General features: G+C 51.6%; 2 protein-coding genes across 16 annotated transcripts in view, besides 7 other annotated features; one reads left to right on the top strand and one right to left on the bottom strand.

Moving 5' to 3' along the window:
- PPP1R7 (protein phosphatase 1 regulatory subunit 7) overlaps window positions 1–6,602 on the bottom strand; it is a 34,080-nt gene extending 27,478 nt beyond the window's left edge. For 2 of the 9 annotated variants that reach the window (NM_001282412.1, XM_047444851.1), the window contains exons 1-2: window positions 6,467–6,602; window positions 2,571–2,699 (exon numbers count right to left, since the gene is read on the bottom strand). In NM_001282412.1, the coding sequence (NP_001269341.1) occupies window positions 2,571–2,699; window positions 6,467–6,470 (133 nt within the window). In that variant the 5' untranslated portion in view covers window positions 6,471–6,602. Of the gene's footprint in view, window positions 1–910; window positions 1,158–2,570; window positions 2,700–5,627 lie in introns of those variants that run through there. The other 7 variants (NM_001282413.1, NM_001282414.1, NM_001282409.1 and 4 more) reach the window with 5 other exon arrangements.
- Window positions 5,287–5,626: a silencer, noted in NCBI's record as "silent region_12531". NCBI's record gives its function as "represses an Ori minimal core promoter by ATAC-STARR-seq in GM12878 lymphoblastoid cells {active_cell/tissue: GM12878}" and the evidence as "EXISTENCE:reporter gene assay evidence [ECO:0000049][PMID:35858748]".
- The window catches only part of PASK (PAS domain containing serine/threonine kinase), a 44,249-nt gene continuing 28,779 nt past the window's right edge, over window positions 5,828–21,297 (top strand). For 3 of the 7 annotated variants that reach the window (NM_015148.4, NM_001252119.2, NM_001252124.2), the window contains exons 1-8: window positions 6,703–6,761; window positions 13,101–13,338; window positions 15,422–15,654; window positions 16,120–16,290; window positions 17,381–17,521; window positions 18,088–18,222; window positions 18,911–19,171; window positions 20,136–20,304. In NM_015148.4, the coding sequence (NP_055963.2) occupies window positions 13,143–13,338; window positions 15,422–15,654; window positions 16,120–16,290; window positions 17,381–17,521; window positions 18,088–18,222; window positions 18,911–19,171; window positions 20,136–20,304 (1,306 nt within the window). In that variant the 5' untranslated portion in view covers window positions 6,703–6,761; window positions 13,101–13,142. Of the gene's footprint in view, window positions 5,874–5,952; window positions 6,219–6,346; window positions 6,568–6,702; window positions 6,762–13,100; window positions 13,339–15,421; window positions 15,655–16,119; window positions 16,291–17,380; window positions 17,522–18,087; window positions 18,223–18,910; window positions 19,172–20,135; window positions 20,305–21,297 lie in introns of those variants that run through there. The other 4 variants (XM_047443736.1, XM_047443735.1, NM_001252120.2 and 1 more) reach the window with 3 other exon arrangements.
- Window positions 5,917–6,076: an enhancer, noted in NCBI's record as "active region_17419". NCBI's record gives its function as "activates an Ori minimal core promoter by ATAC-STARR-seq in GM12878 lymphoblastoid cells {active_cell/tissue: GM12878}" and the evidence as "EXISTENCE:reporter gene assay evidence [ECO:0000049][PMID:35858748]".
- Window positions 6,757–7,116: a silencer, noted in NCBI's record as "silent region_12530". NCBI's record gives its function as "represses an Ori minimal core promoter by ATAC-STARR-seq in GM12878 lymphoblastoid cells {active_cell/tissue: GM12878}" and the evidence as "EXISTENCE:reporter gene assay evidence [ECO:0000049][PMID:35858748]".
- Window positions 7,177–7,236: a silencer, noted in NCBI's record as "silent region_12529". NCBI's record gives its function as "represses an Ori minimal core promoter by ATAC-STARR-seq in GM12878 lymphoblastoid cells {active_cell/tissue: GM12878}" and the evidence as "EXISTENCE:reporter gene assay evidence [ECO:0000049][PMID:35858748]".
- Window positions 7,287–7,336: a silencer, noted in NCBI's record as "silent region_12528". NCBI's record gives its function as "represses an Ori minimal core promoter by ATAC-STARR-seq in GM12878 lymphoblastoid cells {active_cell/tissue: GM12878}" and the evidence as "EXISTENCE:reporter gene assay evidence [ECO:0000049][PMID:35858748]".
- Window positions 7,590–7,749: an enhancer, noted in NCBI's record as "active region_17418". NCBI's record gives its function as "activates an Ori minimal core promoter by ATAC-STARR-seq in GM12878 lymphoblastoid cells {active_cell/tissue: GM12878}" and the evidence as "EXISTENCE:reporter gene assay evidence [ECO:0000049][PMID:35858748]".
- Window positions 15,821–16,321: an enhancer, noted in NCBI's record as "H3K4me1 hESC enhancer chr2:242079269-242079769 (GRCh37/hg19 assembly coordinates)". NCBI's record gives its function as "activates a minimal SCP1, AML or CMV promoter by ChIP-STARR-seq in primed H9 embryonic stem cells {active_cell/tissue: H9 hESC(primed)}" and the evidence as "EXISTENCE:reporter gene assay evidence [ECO:0000049][PMID:30033119]".

The following is a 21,297-nucleotide window of genomic DNA, read 5'->3' as shown; positions in this document are numbered from 1 at the left end:
CAGGGGAGTGAGCTCACACAGCCCTGGACCCCATGCCAAGGGCTGGCTCCTCCAGCCTGGCTCCTCCTCTCACCTGGAGGCCTCTGAGAGGAGCACCTGACATCAGACCAGCTTAACAAAGTCATGATCCCACATGGTTGCATTCACTTCATTGTTTTCCACTATGCCTTTTCTATAACCATCAACTGTGGTTAGTTAAAAAAAAAAGTTTACTATAGTTTATCCACAACTGTAAAGGATACCAACCTAAGAATTAAATAAAAGGAACTGGGCAAAACCAAGAGATAGATAACAAATCACCTCAAAAGACAGTGTCAAGTCACCGTTCATAAACTCAGGAAGTTGCACTGGAAGAGGTGCTACAATTAAGGCAGGGCGCCCAGGTCATGTAGTCCAAACCAGGACCCTTTGAGAGCAGAAGGGCACAGTTATGCTGGGCCAGCAGGCAGAAACGGGCTGTGCCAGGCTCCTCAGGACACACGGTCGCATGGCTTTAAGGGGTCTTGTTTGTAATACAGCCAGCAGGGCTGGCCGCTCACCACTCAAAATGTCAGCTAACCTCTGAAACAAGGTTTCCAGCCTAGAATGCCCTTCTGAGTGTATTATATATTCATCATATTTTAAAAATAATTTAAGGAAAATAGGTAGAAGGTAACAGTTGACATGATTAAATTTGTTTTAATTGAATTTAAGACTTAAATAAATACAGGTAGGAGCAAGTCTTGGCTCCTCTAAGGGCTAGAAATGCATATTCCCAGAAAATTCATAATCAGCTAATCATCTCGAAGAAAAAACTTGGATTTTTCCAGGCCAGGCCAGCTGGTCTGCCTTGTAGCCGTGTGCCCTTGGACAAGCTGCAGAGAGTCTCATTTTCCTCATCTATAACACATTACCACACTGGTGTACTTACAGAACATGATGACAACATGATTAGCCTGTGCTAGTGAGCCAGGGAAAGAAAGCACACAAGGCTTGCTCTGCCAACTCTCAAGTCCTCCATAAACACCCAATGTCTCAGCAGCACCCATCTGAGGATAGCGGGGGCTCCTACCGCTCCACTGTTGGTGACTAAGTCAGGCGATGACGGAAGCTTCCATCTATCACTCCCATGCACTTTATTCCACCCACATCACTTCCAGAACATCAGCCTCAAAGTTCCAAAGTGAATGTGACTGGTACTTTTGTGGTAATCTCCTTGTGACTTAAAAGTAGGTTGCCATAGTTACCAATCATCTTTGCTGGCACAGAGAGCACAATGTTATTTTAAAAATTAGGTTTGTTTCTTCATAAATTTATTTTCATAAGGGATGCATGATTATTCATACACTGTATACAAATCTAGAAAACACAAAATGTATAGATCCTTCTTAAACCTGCTGTTTGGACAGACTCAGCCCGTTTGATGTGTTTTCTTTCTTTAGCAGGTAAAAGTACATACATGCATGCATACTGTTCAGAAACTTTTTTGTTTTGAGATGGAGTCTCATTCTGACCCCGGCTGGAGTGCAGTGGTGTGATCTCAGCTTACTGCAACCTCTGCCTCCCTGGTTCAAGCGATTCTCCTGCCTCAGCCTCCTGAGTAGCTGGGACTACAGGTGCACACCACCATGCCTGGCTAATTTTTCTTTTTTTCTTTTTTTTGTATTTTTAGTAGAGACAGGGTTTCACCATGTTGGCCAGGCTGGTCTCGAACTCCTGACCTCAAGTGATCCACCCGCCTTGGCCTTCCAAAGTGCTAGGATTACAGGCGTAAGCCATTACGCCCGGCCACATCTAGGCACTTTAGAAGTCAATCCTCAGGCCTATAAAAATGGTAAGGCAAGACTCAGAAATAATTTCTCTCAGAGATTAAAGGTTTCTATTGCTATGGTAGGACATAGAAACACAGCAGTCAGCCATAACATTTATTTCGAATCTCATTTCCTAAACATATGGTTAATATAACAATATTGCGGTTCTTTTCTTTTTCCTTTTTTTTTTTTTTTTTTTTTTTTTGAGAAGGAGTATCCCTCTGTCACCTAGGCTGGAGTGCAGTGGTGTGTTCTCGGCTCACTGCAACCTCCACCTCCTGGGTTCAAGCGGTTCTCCTGCCTCAGCCTCCTGAGTAACTGGGATTACAGGCACACGCTGCCACGCCCAGCTAATTTTTGTATTTTTTGTAGAGACAGGGTTTCACCATGTTGGCCAGGATGGGCTTGATCTCCTGACCTCGTGATCCACCCGCCTTGGCCTTCCAAAGTGCTGGGATTACAGGCATGAGCCACTGCATCTGGCCAACAATGTCATGGTTCTGTCTCAGACGGCATACTAGTACCCATATTTGTGCTAGGATTTGCCTTCAGTGGAATTGGAAAAAACCACATCCTTTTTGCAAACGCCATCAATGAGTCAGCCTGCTGAAGGAGCACCTCAAAGAGCATATCCACCTGCCCTGGGCCACTGAGGACCCCTAAGGAGCACGGCAGTCCTTCTCCAGACCGACACAGCACCCACACCCAGGGCCAGACCACGTGCAGCACAGCCCACATCCCCCAACCAGCAGATGTCCCCAAGGGAGCTGGGCCTGGTACCTTCTGGGTCCTCCTCCCCCCGCTCCTCCCCATCCTTCAGGCTCTGTTCACTGAGGTCGGCCACGATGCCACTGCTGTGTTTCTTCCCTTCTTCATCGCCGGATTCTTCAGACTCGACCCGCCTGTCAACTGAACCCACACATGTCAATGAGAATTCACATCCACTTTATGGGACTTTGAGGAACATATAATAAACACCCGGTTGTAAGTCAAAAGGATTTCATTTAAACATGTTTGTTGAATCCAGTTCAACGAACATCTGAGTGTCTCCCATGTCCCAGCACCATTTGAGGCATATGGCCGCGGGGAGAATGGGGAGCAGAGTGTGGAGCCCACATGGATACTTAGGTGAGGAACACACTACTTCTGCCCTCAAGGAGCTTGTGAAGAATTGCCCAGTGTTCTGAAAGCCTTGGATCACCTGTGATTAAATCCACTAATGGAACCCGGTAGTGAAGCACCTCCTGAGTGCCTTTCACTTTTGGGCTGGGGGATCACCACTGTGACCCTTCTGCCACATACCTCCATCCATGCTCCACTATTTATCTGGCTAAGAAAACCAGCCAAGTTCACAGGCCCACGTTCTGAAAGAAATCAAGACTAACTCAAATCAGACTGTGGGCAGGGAGGATCACTAAGGAAAAGGAGAATACAGCCAATAGTGCTGACCGCCCACAGAAAGCTCATTGGTGTGAAATGAGCTTTCACACTGGACACTGGACAGAGTGTTAGCAACTTAAGGCTTTTAAAGGTTCATAAATATTTTTTGAATTAAAGAATAAGGCAATTCAATGTGTCAGGTAAAAATTCTTTGGTAAGGTTGTCAAATCATTTTTCTTTTTTATAACTTTACTCATGACCTCTTTTGGAAGTCTGTCTGGAAAACATGAGGCACTAACACATTACTTGGAATTATCAACCATACTGAAAATACTCTTTCCTGACTATGGTTTATCTACAAAGAGATGTGCTCTTTGAGGGAAAAAGTTCAACTTCATCTTTGTACTTCCCGCTTAGCCTAGCAAAGTAAAACCCAAGAAAGGATTGCTGTAGAAAACAAGTCCTTATAAAACCCACCTCCAAAACCTCCAAATCCATCTCTTCTTCCCTACCCCCGCAATGACGGTGGCTCACTTACTTATTAGCTGCAGCCTGGGCTCCTGCCCTGCCTCCTAACTCGTCTCTGTGACTTGTCTTGCCCTGCTTAACCTATTCTCCCCTGCCAGAGAGTCTGATCTAATTCTAAAATCCAAATCTGATCTTTTGAGTCCAAAAGTATTTCTGGAATGCTCTTCCTGAGTTTGCATCTTGCTGCTAGAGATGCAGCTTTGGCAAATCGTTTCCATTTGAAAGCCTCAATCTCCTAGTCTGTGGAAGGGAGCTAGTATAGCACCTATGCCTCAGCAAGTTGCTGTCACGGTTAAATTAGAAAAGGCACAAGAGCAGTTAGCACGTGCATGACATGCAGTAGATATATAACAAATTAGTCACCACCAGGCACAGGTCACTTGGTGGTCCAGGCTCAGGGAGAGAAAGTTCTACTGCATGACAATCTGGCACAAAAACCCCAGTAAGAGGAGGAGTGGTGTGAGGTTAGCAAAGGCTTAGCTAACGAAGGTTGGCCAAAGTGAAGCCTGAGGGCAGCAGAGAGGGTCTGGAACATGGGACAGTGGCTCTGCATGTAAGAAAATGACTTTGGTGTACTGGGGATGATGGGCTGGTGAACAGGGACAATCAATCTAGCCTAGAGATGATGAAGGTCTGAGTTAAGGTACTGGCAATGGGAATGGAGGACGTATCGGAGATTTGGAGATACTTTCAAAAGTAAAAGTCAGAGCTCCTTGACTAACAGGACATGGGTGGGAGTGGGACAGTGAGAAAAGCCGGGCTTTTATATCTGTCATTTACCAAGACATGGAAACAGCTGAAGAGGGAGTGGGAGGATATGAAGAGGCGCTTCTTAAAAAGACTCAAAGGGTATGAAGTCCAAGACCCTTAACACTACCGCCCCCATCCCCACCACATACGATTTGGTCAAACTCTCCTCCACACCTTTTGACAGCAGTTTTCTCCGTCTTGAGTGATTCTTGCTCTTTTCCCTCACCCTATCCCCAACCTCGTTGCCTTCGAGTTATTCTTCAGGCTCCAGCTCAGAGCTCGCCCTGCTTCTGCAGCTGTCACCACTCCCTAACATGTCAGGCCTTCCTGCTGCACCCGCCCTCCTTCCCCAGCTCCACATTCCTCTTCCCTACCCCTTTCACATAAGGCAGTGACTGCTCTTCTGGGAGGTCTGTACCCCTCACCAAACCATGGGACCCAAAAGTACTTAAGCTGATGACACAACTGATTCCCCAGTTGCTAAGTGGGTGTGTGCACGCATTTTTACACACATACTGTACGTGCACGTATATGACTGTACCTACAGATATGCAGAAAATTATAAACACATGTGTACGTATAACATATACATATATGCATGTGGTTTTTTTTTCCAACAAAGTGAATGAGGAGGAAGAAAGTTGAATTCAGACTTTTTGGAACTATGACAGCTTTGAAAACAGGTATCACCTTGTGTAACTCAATCTTCCGGTTCCTTGTTACCCCTTCCCAACAGTCCATTCGATTTCAAGAGAAGACCCTTCTCCACCCTCACCACGTGAACCAAGGAGCAGACTCTGGTAGATCCCAGCGCCTCAGTTTCCTCGTCAGCTGACCGAGGAGGCTCCCCCGCCCGTCAATCTCAGAGGCTCGGGGCGAGGCTCCAACTGGACTGAATGGAGCCACCGCGTCCCATTCAGCCCCACCCCCGGCCTGGCCTCGCGCCGCCGCTCTCCCCCTAGCTCTGGGTCCTTCCCGGCCGCTGCCGCCCCCGGGCCGGGGCTCCCCCGAGGTCCAGCGCCTCCCCCGCTCCCCCGGGTCCGGCTGTCAGCTGTCAGGGGGCCGCGCGGCGGCGGCCAGAGGCAGGACGTGGAGTTTCTCTCAGGCACGGAGCAGTTCCAGCCCGCAGCTCCCCCCGCCCGCTGGGCCCTTGGGCCGCCGCCCGCAGGGGCCGCTCACCCTCCATCATCTCCTGCGACTGTTGCTGCCCCGCGCCGCGTTCCGCCGCCATGTTGGCTGCTCTTCCCCTTTCCGGAATCTGTCGCCTCAGACCCCTCAGCCAATCAGGGCTCCCGCCTCAGAGCCGGCCCTGCCAATGGGATTCCGGCGCGGCGACTTCAGCCGCGCCGCGCCTGCGTGGGCCCAGCGCCTCATGGGAGTTGTAGTTCCGTCATGAGGCCGCGCGCCGCGCCTCCCCCAGAGCAGGTAATTTCAGGCGGCGGAGCCGGAACAGTCTGGAGGCGAGAAGCTGGGAAGGAAAGCAGAGGGAGTCGAAGCGGGACGCACAGAGCCGTAGCTGCAGGCAGACGGAGTGGACGTCTAGGCAGAGTGGAGAGACGCCCTGGGCTTGAGAGTTGACTTATGTCACTGTCTCGACCTCGGAGGCGTGGAGGGGCCGCGGGCCAGGCGGATCTTTCCGTGGCTGCAAGGTGCGGGCCAGTCCTACGTGCATCCCTGACCTCTGCGAGCCTCGCTGGCTGCGTCTGTACAATGGGCCGAACGGCAAGAGCAACAACATTCTCCCGGCGTCCCCGCGCGGATTTTACCCATGCGAAATGCCGCCTTCTCTTGACGCTCGGAGCAGGCGGGCAGGTGCGGGGCACTTGCGCTGGTGGGGCCGCTAGCCAGCTGGCTGGCTCCGGGGCGCCAGCTGGGCTCCCCTTGCAAGTCGTTCCCAGCCCAGTGCGGACGCTGCAGCCTTCGTCTACCCTGCGGAGCCACCCGGCCCATGAACGAGCCGCCCCGCGTCCTCCGCCTTCAGAAAGAGGCCTCCAAGAGGCGAGCTCTGCGCTACTCACCCATTTTGATCGCGAGTCGGGAGGAAACCGCATCTGCCCGGCCCGGGGGCGGAGGCGCCCATTATTCCTTTGGCTCCTCCGAAGCGCCGTAGGGGTGTTTGGTGCGTCCCTAGCAACCCTTAGCGCGGGCTTCTAGACTCTGGCTAGCTTAGTCCCGCCCATACGCGCAAGTGGCTGGTCCGTGGAGCTTGTCAATCGGTGCTAGTCGCTGTGCGATTGGTCGGTGGGATAAAAGCGCGGAAGGGCTCCTTTCCGTGGTGTGTAGCCGGCTTGGCGTGACCCTCGCCTGATCCAGGTGAGATACCTGCGCTCGGGAGAGCGGGCCGGGCTCCGCCATCTCCCCAGGGCGGCTGTGGGGCCTGCGCGGCTCCGCGCCCCTGGCCCAGGAGGATCCGCCGCCCGACTCTTAGACCAGCCCGACCCCGGGTCTCCCGCCCCTGCGCCCGTCGCCCTTCGCGCACCGCCGAGCCCGCGTCCTCTCCGTGCCCAAATCGCGGCGGGGTTGCGGCCGTTGGCCCTGGGCCCCGCGCCCCCAGCGTCTTCGGGGTGCCCTTCAGTGTAGCCTGCCCGGTGGGCGCCGAGGCCCCGCGCCTCGGGTCGCCTCGGGACCCTGCGCTCTCTTCACCGCAGCCGGCCCTGCGGGGCGAGCTCCAGGAGAACCAGCCCGGATCCCGCCAGCCTCCTGCACTGGGCGTGTGGGTCCCTGCGGGCTCAGCCGGCGCCGCGGGGTCGGGGGCGCGCGCCGCCGGCGCTCGTGGTTACAGCAAAGACCTGGACTTGAGCCTTAATTTTTTCACTAATTTTTCTTTCCCAGAGTACGGCAGGGGCCTGCGCTGCCGTCTTGAGGCCTTTCTCGTCCTTACCTTCCGCATCTCAGTACCATTCGATGTCCATTTTTCTCTTAGGGGTTCCCTCTCTTCATCTTTCTGCTGCTACCTTAATTTAAGACTTTATAATTTCTTGCCTGGATTACTGTAGCCTTTCTCCTGCTTTCCAGCCTTGCACCGACATGGTCCCTGGAGTAATCTTTGTAAAATGCATATCTGGCCATGTTACTCCTAAGCATTGAATCCTTAAAAGTTCATTTTGGGGATAAAATTAAGACTTTGGGCAGGCATAGGAGGCTCTGGGCTCATGCTTGGCCCTTCCAGGCCCACGTCCACCTACTCTTCTGGGTACTGAACTCCTCTCTGGGAGGCTTTGCCTCTGAAAGACTTCTTCACTCTGCTTGGTAGGGCCCGGCTCTGCAGGTGCCTCCTCCAGGACTGACATCCTTGCTGTGTTCTACTGCACTGTTCACCTTGTTGGCCTCATCCTGAAACTGGTTCTCCTTTTTGTTGTACAGCTGTGCTGACAGCAATGGGAGCTGTTTGCTTCTTAGCTTATGTTCTGGTGGGAGGGGGACAGTTGCTTCTAGAAGTTCGCCGAGATGCTCCCTGCAAAGTTGTCCTTGCTTCTGTTTGGTCTGAGGTGGGGTCACTTGTGTCTTCTGGAATCAAAACTAGCAATGGGAATATGGTTACTCGGTGGCACCATTAGGTGCTGTCTGCTGGGTTTGGGTTCCCGTGTCTGCAGCTCACAGTGGATACAAAGGACAATTTTAAAAATTTGGGCCTGGACGTGCAGGTATTTCTGGTTAACGTCTGAGTCAAAATTTAGTGATCTAAGGTCATGTGAAGCCAGACTCTGTTCTTTCTTGAGGCCAGGCTGTGGCTGTGGAGTGCACGGGAGGCTCCAGGGGCCTATGCTGTTCAGTGACAAACTGGCCCACGTGGACTTCAGATGCCCAGGAGGCACAGCGGGAAAAAGGATGCATCTTTCCTGCTGTCCTCCCCGCTCCCGCAGAGGGTCCCATCAGTTTCCCTCCTGGATAGGCTTGTAACTCTCAGTAACCTAATTAAACTTCCACAACTTTAGTTGGTATTTATTTACTTTCTCCCATGAAGGACAAAAAATTGCATGCCCTTACCCTCCCTTTGCTTTTTTTCCCCCTTTCCATTTCATGTTAGTTACTTTTACAAAGAAACTTCTGTAACATTTACAATATATTCTGAATAGTTATATTACTTTTTTATTATTTTATTTTTTGAGACAGGGTCTTGCTCTGTGGCCCAGGCTGGAGTGCAGTGGTGCTGTGTCCTCTCACTGCAGCCTCCGCCTCCTGGGCTGAAGCGATTCTCCCACCTCAACCTCCCAAGCAGCTGGGACTACCAGCATGTGCCACCACACCTTGCTAATTTTTAATTTTTTTTTTGTAGAGATGGGGTCTCCCTATGTTGCCCAGGCTGATCTCGAACTCCTGGGCTCAAGTAATCTGCCTGGCCTCCCAAAGTACTGGGTATATGACTTTTTAAAATAGTTTTGTAACATTGACATTGCAGTCTGAAGAGTTATATTTTTTAGGAATTAAAGTTTTCTAACAATGTATTCTGAAGAGTTATATTACTTTTTTAAGAAAGTAAGGTTTTACAACATTTACAATGTATTCTGAAGCTATAATTAAGTGTCCTGAGCTTTGTCTATAGGTTGGTTCTAAAAGTAGAAAAAACTGCCTCACACTATAATCATGTCATTGTTATTTATTATGGCAATAATTAGTGCATTTGGATGCTTAGAGAAGGAGATGTAAACCTGTAACTAAAGGTCCCATTCATTGTTGCTGCTTGTAGGAAAGCTGCACACTCGAACCCCAAACCCTATATGTAATAGCTTCCTACACATCTGCAGGTTTGCAGAGCCTTTGCCTTCCAGGGTCCTAGGCTGGGTTTGTGTGTGAATGTCTCTGAATTTTTTGGCCGTATCAGTTTATTCATACAAAAGAATAAAGGCAGTGTTAGTCATGAATTGTACCAGCAGAGTGGATGCATTTGAACCCATCACCCTAGGAAATCAGGGGACCTGTGCCCTTGTGCCTCTTCCCCACTCTTGCACCTGCCTGACCCAGAGGGAACCACCTGCCTGAAATTTAGGTTTACCAGTCTCTTATTTAAGAAGTAGTTTAATTACATAGGTGTGTTTCCCTGAACTACTTATTTAGATTATTTCATGACAAAGGAATCCTCCTGCTGATTGTCTTCCGTAACTTGATTTTTTCCACTCGTATATGGCTAAGATTCACCCTTGTGTGTAGTTTATTTGTTTTCACTGCTGTAATTAGTGGTATGAATATACCAGAATTTAAAATCTATCTTCTTGTTAAAGAGTGTTTGGGTTTCATTTCCTTTTTTCCTCCCTCTCTCCCGCACTCCCTCCCTTTCTTCCCTCCCTTTTTTCTGCCTGTCTCTTTGCCATTGAGAACCATATTGTCCCGAACATTCTGGTGTCTTCTTATCTGTTTGCAAAAATTTCTCTGAAATATAAATCTAAGTGAAAAGTGCTGTATCCATATAGACAAATGTTTCACTTGAATTGTTTTCTAAAGAGATTATATTAATGTATTAAGAGTTCCTGTTGATCCAAATCCTTTTTGACATTGGGTATTACTAGATTCTTCATTTCTGCTGACTTAGTAGGTATAACATCATCATGATTAGGATTTCCTCTCCTGTAAAACGCTTGTTCCTATTTCTTGACATTTTTTATTGGGCCATGTGTCTTTTAAAAATGTTTAAATTTTAAATAGTTGATCTTTTAAAGCTATTCTGGATATTAATTTTCTGTTGGTTATGTATGTGGCAAATATCTTCTCCCAAATTGTGGCTTGTTCTTTCGTTTTCTTTATGGTATTCTTTGTGAAGCTGTGTTCTCATTTTTTTTTTTCTTTTTTTTGGGGGGGACGGAGTCTCGCTGTGTCGCCAGGCTGGAGTGCAGTGGCGTGATCTCAGCTCATTGCAACCTCCACCTGCCAGGTTGTGTCGCCAGGCTGGAGGGCAGTGGTGTCATCTCGGCTCATTACAACCTCCACCTCCCAGGTTCAAGCGATTCTCCTGCCTCTGCCTCCAGAGTAGCTGGGAATACAGGTGTGTGCCACCATGCTCAGCTAATTTTTTTTTTTTTAGTAGAGATGGGGTTTCACCACATTGGTCAGGATGGTCTTGATCTCTTGACCTCGTGATCTGCTTGCCTCGGCCTCCCAAAGTGCTGGGATTACAGGTGTGATGTGTTCTCAATTTTAACGTTAAACTTATTAATCTTATTTTATAGCTAGAGTTTTTTGTGCCTTGTTTAAGAAAACTTTCCCTACCCCAAAGTCTTACAGATAGCCTCTTTTCTCCTAAAAACTTAGTGATTTTATTTTATATTTTATTTGGTTTGACAGGTCTCGCTTTGTTGCCTAGGCTGGCCTCCATCTCCCTGGGCTCAAGCAATTATCCTGCCTTAGCTTCTAGAGTGGCTCGGACTATAGGTGCAGGCCACGAGACCTGCCTGGCTAAAAAGTTTAGTGTTTTGACTTCCACAGATCAGATCTTTTATGCCCTGGGCACCATAGTGAGACCTCATCTCCTAGTTAAAAAAAAAGATGGCCATGTGAAGATACATACAAACAGGGAGAAGTCGGCCGGGCGCGGTGGCTCACGCCTGTAATCCCAGCAGTTTGGGAGGCCGCAGCAGGTGGATCACGAGGTCAGGAGATCGAGACCATCTTGGCTAACACGGTGAAACCCTGACTCTACTAAAAATACCAAAAATTAGCCAGGCGTGGTGGCGGCTGCCTGTAGTCCCAGCTACTCGGGAGGCTGAGGCAGGAGAATGGCGTGAACCCGGGAGGCGGAGGTTGCAGTGAGCCGAAGTCGCGCCACTGCACTCCACCCTGGGCGACACAGCGAGACTCTGTCTCAAAAAAAAGAAACAAACAAACAGGGAGAAGCTCTGTGATGGCGAAGGCGGAGACTGGAGTGACGCAGCTGCAGGTCAAGAACACCAAAGATGGCCAGTATGGCCAGTAGCCACCAGATGCTAGGATAAGGCAAGGAGGGGGGACTCCTTGGAGTTCCATATTGGAAGAGGTGGTGTTGGGAGGGCCACCTCCCCTTTCCTCTTCACCCCAGGCCTGCCTTGTCTTGGAAGGGCCTCGTGTGGGCATCCTGCTAGCTTGTCCAAGCTCGCTATTCCTGGAAGGCTGCTCCTCAGCCAGTTCACGGCTATAGGTGTGCCAGTGTGGGAGGACCTGGGTGGAAAGAGGCCTGTGTGTGTCTTAGAAGTGGGCACCAGACCCTTTGGCTGGGAACTCTGGGGTTCTGGATACCCAGAAGGTGGTCCAGAAGAGGGTATATGGGGTGTGGTTGGGCTTGCCTTGGCCCCAGGGTCTCCTCATTTCGTGGGGGAAACTCCAGCCATGGTTCTGGTATTGGCCACAGCCTCCTCTTGCTGTTTATCTAAAGCCTGGATGACCAGGTGGGGGCTTCCTGCCAGTAGAGGAAATCTTCTTGCTTTAAGGGCTCTTTTTGTTGAGTTTGGCCATGAGGACAGGGTATTGGTAAATGTGTACTTGTGTTTCAAGTGCTTGCCAATATGCAGGATGGAACTCTTAAGTATCTCCACTCTGCAGGGTGGTCACATGAATGTATACATGTGACAAGACTGCATGGAACACGTGCTCACATGCGCGCACACACACACGCTCATGTACACATGTGCACACGCACACACACGCACGGACACACACGCACACCCACACACACACACACCTGCAGGTAAATGCCTTGAAATCTGGACGAGGCTGATGGATGGTATCAAGTCAGTTTCCTGGCTGTGACACTCTCCTGTAAGATGTCACCATGAGAGGGAACTCGGAAGAGTATGTGAGATTTTCCTGTATTTCCACCCTGTATCAGCATTTGAATCATGTATAAGAGAAAAGCTAAAAATACAAATCTCTGGTGCCAGGCCTGTCTCTAGGAGACATGGCCTCTTGGCCATGGCCCCCGCGACCTCACTTGTTGGCAGCACCCAGGTGATTCTGTGCACAGCTGGTCGGATGGTCAGGACTCACTGTTTAGGGGAAAGCTGAGACCATGGGAGCTGTGCAGCCCCCACGTGCTGATGGGTTCATCATGACCTGGGAGTATTTTCAGTTGGTGTGTACCTGCAGTCCCTGCCTTCCCTCATGGCTCCTTCCCACCCTGTTCTTTGTTTTCCTCTCTCTCTCCTTCCCTCTTTCCCATATCTTCCTATGTATTTTTCTTGGAAAGAGCTTCTTTTTTTTTTTCTTTTTTTTTGACATGGAGTCTCTCTCTATCGCCCAGGCTGGAGTGCAGTGGTGTGATCTCGGCTCACTGCAAGCTCTGCCTCCCGGGTTCACACCATTCTTCTGCCTCAGCCTCCCGAGTAGCTGGGACTACAGGCACCCGCCACCATGCCCGGCTAATTTTTTGTATTTTTAGTGGAGACGGAGTTTCACAGTGTTAGTCAGGATGGTCTCGATCTCCTCGATCTCCTGACCTCGTGATCCGCCCTCCTCAGCCTCCCAAAGTGCTGGGATGACAGGCGTGCGCCACCGTGCCTGGCCCGGAAAGAGCTTCTTTTAGCACCACTTTGGGTGGACCATTCTCCCATTGCGGGTTCTGACCCAGGATGGCGGTTGGTGGTGTATGTCTTTTGGGGCCGAGCTGAACTCAGCATTATAAATTAGTTGGTTAAACTGTCTTTGTGTTTTTGCATTGCAGATGTTAATCAGCTTCATGTTGTTTTCTAGTTGTTAGAGTTGGAAGCTTGGCAGTTGGCCTCCCTTCTTCCCATGGAGGACGGGGGCTTAACAGCCTTTGAAGAGGACCAGAGATGCCTTTCCCAGAGCCTCCCCTTGCCAGTGTCAGCAGAGGGCCCAGCTGCACAGACCACTGCTGAGCCCAGCAGGTCGTTTTCCTCAGCCCACAGACACCTGAGCAGAAGGAATGGGCTTTCCAGACTCTGCCAGAGCAGGACAGCGCTCTCTGGTAATGACCTTCGACCACTGCAGGCCTTAGCGCGTGGAAATACAAATGTGGAGTTGCTCTGTGTTCTCATGGAAACCCTCTCACCAGGGATTGAAGTCACTCTATTCCTGCAGAGAAAAGTTCGTGGTTTAAGTGCTCGGCTCATGCTGGCAGATGACTCCGGCAGGACCCTTCCTGCTGCTTTTACTCTGCTGTGATTCCCAGGCAGCTGGCGCTTCTTTTCAGGCAGCAGGTGGAACTCACCTTCACATTTCAGGGTCAAGTTACAACAAAATGTTATTTCTTACTTTAGAGTATGTGAGAACGCTGTTCTAGGTTAGGCTATTTTACTTAGGGAATTGCAGCTTTGCTCGTGCAGTTTACTGAGCTAAACGCGGTTTAGCTGGTGGACCAAGAATCATGGGGCAGAAGTCTGTTGGTGCCTCCTATGTCCAGATTCCGTTGGTGCCTCCTTTGTCCAGGCACCCCAAAGGACTGGGCCATGGTGAGGAAGGAAGCGTCACTTGCCTTTCAGGGGCTGTCTGATGGAGGCACTTGGGGAGACAGCAGGCTGTGTGCTTGAAGTTGGGGTAGACCTGGAAAATGGGGAAGTGGGGCATAGAGCTGCGGGAAATGGTGGCTGGGAGTCTGGTCTCCAGGTCAAGGAGCACTTCGACACTGGAGTAGGAGGGTGTTGGAGCTGAGCTTGTGCACTGGAGTGTCTGAGGGTGTAGAGCGGAGGGCCCTGTGGAGAGTGCCCAGGATACTGCAGGGAGGGGTGGGCTGGGAGGCACACAGCGCCCTTGGGAGTGGGCTTCACCCAGGCGCTGATCAGGAATGTTCTCAGTGAGTGTTGACAGGTGTGTTCCTTTTTTGGAGCATCATTCTGGTGGCTGCATGAGGAGCAGGGGTGGGAGCCGGAGGTACAGGGCCTTGAGACATGAGAAGGAGCTGCGCTTGGTGACTGCTGTCTGGGGAAGAGCAGGGGCGAGAGTGGCTGGATGGCCACGTGGTTTCCAGCCTCAGAGAATGGTCGGGGTCAGGCCACTCACTGAGAAAGTCAGGGGTCCTGGCTGGAGGACATGGAGGGGAGGGGATGGGAGAGAAATGGAAGGGTCAGGTCTTGAGTGCTTGGTTTTGAGCACTGGAAGAATGTATCTGGTGTCTCCAGAGATGGGGAAGCAGGCGAGTGGGCCGTGGGAGGTCCAGGCTGGAGGTGCGAGTGTGAGAGTCTTCAGTGCATTTCTAATTAGATGTATTTAAAGCTACCGAGGAATGGGTGAGATGGAGCCAGGGTCACTGAGAGGTGGGAGGTGGGGGAGCCCAGGTGCCCGAGGAGGGTGGTGTGGGAGGAGGGTGAGGCCTGAGGAATGACGGGGCTGAGGGTTTTGGGAGCCATTGGAGGCGTTGCTGAGAGAACGCTGCACAAGGAGCTCTTGAATCGTAGGAACGCTTCCAAGGAGGAGGTGACGGGGCAGCCACCGGAGTGGCCATGGGGTCTTGGAATGACTGACAGAGGACAGAAGGTGGGAAGGAAGGAACCTTTGAGTGTAATTAAGCTTTTTTGTTTTTTGGGACAAGGTCTGACTGTTGCTCAGGCTGGAGTGCAGTGGCGCAGTCATAGCTCGCTGCAGTCTCAAACTCCTGGGCTCAGGCAATCCTCCTGCCTTAGCCTCCTGAGTAGATGGGGCTGCAAGGGCACGCCACTATGCCCAACTGATTTTTACAAATTTTATTTTTAGTAGGGACAGGGTCTCGCTGTGTTGTCCAGGCTGGTCTTGAACTCCTGAACTCAAGCAACCTTCCTGCCTCAGCCTTCCAAAGAACTGGGATTATAGGCACGCCTGGCTTTGAGTGTAATTTAGACACAGAAGTGTTGATCTTATGCTGTTTGTGCTTCCGAGTGGACCTGGTGGTTGCCTAAGTGGATTCTGGGGACCATGTTCAGACACGCAGTGAGAGTGTGTGTTAGCTGTGCAGACTGACTTAATCCTTAGATCTTTTTGCAGGAGTTGAGGGCAAGGGCTGTGTGCTTTGCCTGTTTCAGAAGGTGGACTCTGGCAGCTGTGTGAAGTCTAAAGCTTCGCTTCGCTTCTCTTTTCAGAAGACAGATGGAGCTCCTATTGTCTATCATCACTGGCTGCCCAGAATATTTGTACAAGTAAACTGCACTGCCCTGCTGCCCCTGAGCACACGGACCCGTCCGAACCGCGGGGCAGTGTGTCCTGCTGCTCCCTGCTGCGGGGACTGTCCTCAGGGTGGTCCTCACCTCTGCTTCCGGCCCCTGTGTGCAACCCTAACAAGGCCATCTTCACGGTGGATGCCAAGACCACAGAGGTATTTGCTTCTCTTTTAGATCCAGCTGTGTAGATGTGGATTTGTGGTTTGTGCCTTAAACCTGGGATTTGTGTGTTTTAATGCAATTAGAAAAACATTTGGGCACTTCGGGAGGTGGGAAGTTTGCTTGAGCCCAGGAGTTCAAGACCAGCCTGGGCAACATAGCAAGATCCCATCTCTACAAAGAAATTAGCCAGGTGCGGTGGCACACACCTGTAGTCCCAGCTACCAGGGAGGCTGAGGCAGGAGGATCACTTGAACCCAGGAGTTCAAGGTTGCAGTGAGCTCTGATTGCGCCGCTGCAGTGAGCTCTGATTGCGCCACTGCACTCCAGCCTGGGCAACAGAGTGAGACCCTGTCTGTCAGGAAAAGGCTGGCTTCTGCATGGTCGTCCTGGGCTGTTCTGGGCAGCTGGTGGAGCTGCTGGGGATGTCTGCATCCTTGCTCCTCTTTGTGATTCCTCAGATCCTGGTTGCTAACGACAAAGCTTGCGGGCTCCTGGGGTACAGCAGCCAGGACCTGATTGGCCAGAAGCTCACGCAGTTCTTTCTGAGGTCAGATTCTGATGTGGTGGAGGCCCTCAGCGAGGAGCACATGGAGGCCGACGGCCACGCTGCGGTGGTGTTTGGCACGGTGGTGAGTGGATGCGGGTGCAGCGTTCAGTCTGGCCTCAAGACCAGCAGTGTGTGGCAGGAACAGCTCAGTGTTCCCTACCAGGAGCTCTGCTGGGGGTTGGGTGGCACCAGGACATCTCAGCTTCTTCAGCTGAAAATGTCATCCCAGGCGCCGTTTCCCCGCTTCAGCTGCAGTGGGGGTGGGGGCCCTTTAAGAACGAATCATCGCAGGAATGGACACTGTGGCTGTGGCTGGACTCCTGGGAGGTGTCGTGGGTGGCCCTTGCTTTGTCTGAGGGCTGTAGCTTCACTAATGTTTTGCAGTCCTGCCGGGCAGCACATCAGATGCTCAAGAGTAATATGGTTTTATTGTCTATTGATTTTTACATTCTGTTTGGTGTTTGTGGGAGCGGGCGGGGGTGTTGGCCTGGAAGCATTTCCCTAGACAGTGTTGATTCTCTCACCTGTGCCATGTGTCCAACCTGGATGTTGACAGGTGAGCTGAGTTGGATGTGGAGGACTGAGCCCAAGGCATGGAAAAAGCCCAAGGCATGGCTGATTGTAGGGTTTCCCCTCGTCAGCCGGTCGGGGACTGGGGGAGTAGCGTTGGAGGGCAGTGGAGGTTGGGGTATGATCTGAGGCTCTAGTAGTCATCCAGATCCTCCAGGTTGCCTGTTTCCCACCTAGTGTGTGGCTTTCACACAGAAGACCCCATTGCTTGAACTGAACTGATGTCACAGGCTTAGGACCAATTGTATCAGAAAATCACTGGTTCAAGAAACTGACTACTAAGAAGAAAAAAACTAAGATATTCACCATGTGTTGGTGTCTGTTTCTTTAAGAAATAACAGATACTGCTTTTTTCACCCTGCAATATTACCATGAACTGAGAATGAAATCTACTCTCTTGATAAAACTTGCACTTGGAGATTTTAATGTTCAGTATGGGAAATCTTGTTTGTGCTTTGGTAAATTTCTGAAATGAAAATCAGGTAAGCAGAAGTTGAAAACGTTGCAGTGCCTGGAGTTTGGGCCTCCTGGAGGCAGGTGCCCCACCCATACTGGTCTTTTGGGTTCATGGCATGCAGGTGTGAACCTGTCTGTTTCCACAGGTGGACATCATCAGCCGTAGTGGGGAGAAGATTCCAGTGTCTGTGTGGATGAAGAGGATGCGGCAGGAGCGCCGCCTATGCTGCGTGGTGGTCCTGGAGCCCGTGGAGAGGGTCTCGACCTGGGTCGCTTTCCAGAGCGATGTGAGTGTGCAACTTTGCCTCATGTCTCATGGACGCTGGAGCCGGCGTCGTTCTCCTCTTCAGCAAGTGCTGGTCCCTGTCTCATTCCTTTGGGAAGAAAGAGAGGATGAGGAGCCTGGAGGGTCTGCCCAGTGGTACCCTCGCTGATTGCGTGTGCTTGGGCAGGGAACGAACTTCCTATACTTCAGTTCCTCACCTGTGAACTGGGGCATAATCATAACTCCTCATAAGATTGTTTCAACATTTAAATGAGATAATATATGTAAACCCCCCAGGATAGTAGCTGGCATTAGAGACAGCCCTCATATGTGAACTGGGATGTTATTAATGAGCTGTGGTGTGGGCCAGGCTCCTGAAGAACAAGAAGGCCCACAATTTAGGTACGTCTCTGGTAGAAGGAGACAGATGATGAAGCTCTTATCAAATTCATGTGTATATGTCTCTTGCCCTTCCGATGGAGAAGTCATGTTGGGGTCTTGCTTTTGGCTTGAACATATTGAAGCTTAGTTAAATTTACAGCTGGAGCACAAGAAGCTTTTATGATAAGCACGGGGCTTTTCCTCCAGGGCACCGTCACGTCATGTGACAGTCTCTTTGCTCATCTTCACGGGTACGTGTCTGGGGAGGACGTGGCTGGGCAGCATATCACAGACCTGATCCCTTCTGTGCAGCTCCCTCCTTCTGGCCAGCACATCCCAAAGGTAGGGCTCCTGACCTCCCGCACTGTGTGATGGGGTGGAGTTCTTAGCTCTGAATCCATAACTGGAGACGCAGACCAAGGGTTTCTGAAGGCAAGGGTGGCCTTAGGGGTGGGACATGCTCAGTTTTGAGCTTCCTGTGCGCTGAGGCCTTGACCAAGGGCCGGAGCCTATGTGGTCTCCCAGCTGACCACTCTTGTCCCCTGAGTCTTCTCCCAGGAGCTGGGCCACCCACAGAGGTGGATGCTGGGACGCTGCCCAAGGCTGAGGGGTGGGAGGTAACATCCACAGCTGCGCAGCTGGTGTAGTGCTGCCTGTGGGGCCAGTATCCTGGTGCCAGATCAAGGATGGCACAGTTGCCAGTGGCGTGGCTGAGCCCCGAGCCTGAGCCCCACAGTCCTCCCTCCCTCCCTCCCTGCTGGTGCCCGGCCCCTCACTGGGGTGTCTCACTTGCCCTGGGGTTGCTGTGCCTGGGGCGGCTCTGGACACTGAGTCCTCCCCACCCACAGAAGGGCTCTTTCCTGGGCCAGCTGGGCCTGGGAGGAGAGGGAAGGCAGAGCAGTGTGGGTGTGAGATGTCCTGGGGACCTTCCCCGATGACGTGGGGTAGAAGTCGGGTCGGACGCAGCACAGACTCAGTGCTCTGTCCACGTGAAACACGGCTTAAGCCAAACGACAAGCCTTTCTTTCAGAATCTCAAGATTCAGAGGTCTGTTGGAAGAGCCAGGGACGGTACCACCTTCCCTCTGAGCTTAAAGCTGAAATCCCAACCCAGCAGCGAGGAGGCGACCACCGGTGAGGCGGCCCCTGTGAGCGGCTACCGGGCATCTGTCTGGGTGTTCTGCACCATCAGTGGCCTCATCACCCTCCTGCCGGATGGGACCATCCACGGCATCAACCACAGCTTCGCGCTGACACTGTTTGGTTACGGAAAGACGGAGCTCCTGGGCAAGGTGGGGCTGCCCTGGGCGCCTGGCTCCCGTTCCCTGGGAGGAAGCTGCTGTGCTCTGCAGTGCGGGCTTGCGTGTGGCACAGGCCTCGCACCCGGCAAGCTCTCCAGCTCGCTCCTTTACCCAGGAAGGACCTTGGGTCCAGGGAGGGAGGTCCCTGCTCATGGCTGCCAAGCTCCTTCCTCTCCACCCTTCCCCAGCAACCACCGTCGGAGGGAGAGGAGCACTGTGCTTCGAAGCCCTGAGAGATCTGGTCTGACTGATGGACCAGGGTTTACGACACAACTGCGGGGGTTCATTTCTCACCCTAGTAGAAATACTAAAAAGTAGCTAAGCTGAATTGTAGTTACGTTAAATTTAAGTTAGTTAAAAAGCAGTTAGTGTTCTTCCTGGATGAGGGGTTCCCACAGGAGCTGAGGGCATTGAGACCTTGCAGGGATTTTGGGGGCATGGACACTTGTGCCCTCTGTGAGGTTAGAGCGGGTTCTGGCATTACAGCTATGGGCAGTGTCCCGGTGAGGGGGCCACACACAGGTTCAGAGGAAGCATCTGTCAGAGCAGCTCCTGGCCTGGGAGGAAGGCCCCACAGTCCTTCTGTCCTGGGTGCATGTCACTGTTCCGGCCACCAGTGAGCCGCGTGAGGTGAGGCTTGCAAACACAGGCTCCCAGATCCATCTAAACATGGGGCCAAAGGCCAGATGTCTGCTCCAAAGATGTGTCGATGTCACTGTAACTTGCCGCAGAGTATGTTTTTACCTTTTTCTTAAGGGGAAAATCACAGATCACATGTTGAGCATCTGAGGGGCTTCAGGTGCGTCGAAGGGCATTTGGCCCGAGGCCTTTCCTGACCTTAAGGGTGAACCCTCAGGGACTGGCTCTCCTTGTGTTCATTCCTCCCCCAGGGGGACGGTCCAGTGGGTCAGCGTGGATCCTCCAGGTTCTGAAATGTCCCTGCTTTGTTTTCTAGAATATCACTTTCCTGATTCCTGGTTTCTACAGCTACATGGACCTTGCGTACAACAGCTCATTACAGCTCCCAGACCTGGCCAGCTGCCTGGACGTCGGCAATGAGAGTGGGTGTGGGGAGAGAACCTTGGACCCGTGGCAGGGCCAGGACCCAGCTGAGGGGGGCCAGGGTAAGACGTCCTCTTCCTCCTGAATGCGCCTGTAGCTGCTGAGCCCCAGACAGCCCCATGCCTCTGAGACAGGGCTGGGAGGAGCAGGAGCTATTGTCCCTCCAGAGGCTCAGGGGTGGTGGGGGGCGGAGTAGGGGGTGACTGTTTTCTGGTTTGATGTTCCTCTCTGTCTCGGGGGCTGTGACATATTCTTATAAACATATGAGCATAGAGAAGAGAATAGAAAACCCCCCAAGAGTGCATCACCAGTGCCCATGATATCCGAGACACAGCATCCGAGACACAGCTAACTGACCGTCTTGTCTTTTCTAAGTAAACTTATATAGCTTCATGTAGTTTAAGTGAAGCCATGTAGCATATCGGATTACCGCTGACCCTTGAACAACTGGGTTTGACATTAGAGGGTCCACTTATACACAGATTCTTTTCAACCTCAGAAATCCAGTACTGGTGGGAGGTGAAGTTGGCGTATATGGAGGGCTGACTTTCCATGCACCTGCGTTCCACGGGTGGGCTGTGGGACTTGAGGGTGCTCGGATTTTGGCATTCTGGGGGTCCTGGAACCCATCCCCTGAGTGTACTGAGGGTTGACTGCAATTCCTAAATTGAATGTTCTACCAGTATTTCCTGGTTTAATTATGTTTATCCCACATAGTTTTAATTTAACATTTTAAATGATTTCAACAAATACTCCGAGTCCCTTTCATATGCACAGTCTTAGGTGTGTGGCTTGTGAAGACAGGGTGAGCACACTGCCTCCTGTCCCGAGGGACCCACTCTGGCTGGGAGCAATGAGGGGCAGTAGAACCCGCTGATGTCCTGGCAGGGCCCACGCCTGAGCTCCTGGTAAGGAGCAGGCCCCTGGCTGCTTCCACAGTGCTCATTCTTGTTGACAAGCATGGGGTGGGGGTGCGCCCTGTCCCTGGCTCTGCCCTGGTGGGGACCCCGGAACTCTGCCTCCAGGGCCTCTGCCCACCTGGAGCGTGGGCTCAC

This window comes from Homo sapiens, chromosome 2 (genome assembly GCF_000001405.40).
Source record: "Homo sapiens chromosome 2, GRCh38.p14 Primary Assembly".
Lineage (NCBI taxonomy): Eukaryota > Metazoa > Chordata > Mammalia > Primates > Hominidae > Homo > Homo sapiens.
This window is presented reverse-complemented; position numbering and strand designations above follow the sequence as displayed.